The 1596-nt window shown below is 54.1% G+C and overlaps 1 annotated feature.

The window, feature by feature from the left end:
* Nucleotides 204–756: an enhancer, noted in NCBI's record as "H3K4me1 hESC enhancer chr22:27803625-27804177 (GRCh37/hg19 assembly coordinates)". NCBI's record gives its function as "activates a minimal SCP1, AML or CMV promoter by ChIP-STARR-seq in primed H9 embryonic stem cells {active_cell/tissue: H9 hESC(primed)}" and the evidence as "EXISTENCE:reporter gene assay evidence [ECO:0000049][PMID:30033119]".

Here is a 1596-nt window from a genome sequence, read left to right on the forward strand (position 1 = left end):
AGGGCAGAGGAAGGGGAATAGAGGAGGGAGGAAGACCAGACAGTCAGAGGGTGGAGGCCAGGGCACGACGAGGGTAGCGGCGGGATCAGGGGTCCTCCCACCCCGTGGACCCTGAACTGGCCCCTGTCCACTGGGCAGCCAGGGTCTTCCACCCACCACCTGCCTCCATACCCCAGAGCTTTTCCCTCCCAGCAGGGGCCTGGCCAGGGTCCTGGAGGGCAAAGGTCAGGTGGGTGGACTCGCCGGAGCCCCCAGGAAGGCATCTTTCATTTCCGCCTGCTCAGCAGGCTCCAAGCACATCGTTTGCATAAAACAATATTCCTGTGGGGGATGCTAATGCGCCCTGCTATTTTTGCCTCTCCTGGATTGTGGTTTGCATACATTTGCATACCCTGGGAGAATTAAGCAGGAATCATGTAAATGAGCCCACCAGCTTGGAGGCGAAGGGGGACCTGGGCTCCCTGCCTCCCGACAGGCTGTGCTGGCCACATCCTTCCCCTGGGGTCACCCTGGCAGGACAGGTTAACATGGAAGGATCAGCTACATGTCTCTCCCAACCTAAGGCTGCTGTCCACTCCAGGTTTGGGGTAGCCAGAGGCAGTTTTCAAAAACCCAGATCTGAGCCTGTCACATCCTTCTTTAAACCTTCCATGGCTTTTGGAATCCTAGGATGGAGGCCAAACTCTCCCTCTCCCCCATAGCCACAAAGACCAACCCCTACCAGCCCCTCTAACCCACACTCTCTTCCTCCCCAGCCTCCACCCACAATGGAACTTCCTCCCGTCAGGGCTTCCCCTCACCACACTTCTGCAAACCACAGGGCCTTTGTACATGCTGTCCCCACTGGCTGCAATGTTTTTCCTTCTTTCTCTTCACTTCCTTACAGCTAACTCATCCTTCAGACTCCAGGCCAAGTACCATTTCCATAGGGACGCCCTTCCTGTCATCTCTGACCTTATCCCTCCATGAAGTACCCTGTTAGGTAGCTGGAATTATTATCAATGCAATAACTTCCTTTGTGCCTGACTCCTCCATGAGACTGTGAGAGCCACTGCCCCCGACACAATACCTAGCGGTGCCGCCAGGTGTTCCTGGCCTTAGTTTAGGTTCCCAATTAATATTTGTTAAATGAAGGTGGCAGACCTGCAAATTTAGCCTCGAACCTGGAGTCCTCAGGAGCCCAGCCCCCAACTCCAGTGGTACACAAGAAGTTTTTAAAAATATATTAATTGAGAACCTACAGCGTGCCAAGCACTGGGTAAAGTATTTGACATATACTGTCTTGGGGACGCCTCTACATCTCTACAAGGGAGGTGTGGAAATTGTGTGCATGTTACGGAAAGTAGGGCCTCTGGGAAGGAAGGCCACCAGGTTCAGGTCACACAGCATGCCTGTGGCAGAGCTAGCAGTCCACCCCAGATTCGTGTGCCCTAGAGGCCTTAGCCCGATCGCTGCACATTTTCCCCTGACCTTCTGGGTGACACGCACCCAGCACACACCTAAGTGGTCTCATGAAAAGGTTGCATGGATTTACACAAGCACATGCAGACTCACGAGAGAATTTGAGTTCACCAGAGCGCACACAGCTGTTGCCTG

Source organism: Homo sapiens, chromosome 22, assembly GCF_000001405.40.
Source record: "Homo sapiens chromosome 22, GRCh38.p14 Primary Assembly".
Lineage (NCBI taxonomy): Eukaryota > Metazoa > Chordata > Mammalia > Primates > Hominidae > Homo > Homo sapiens.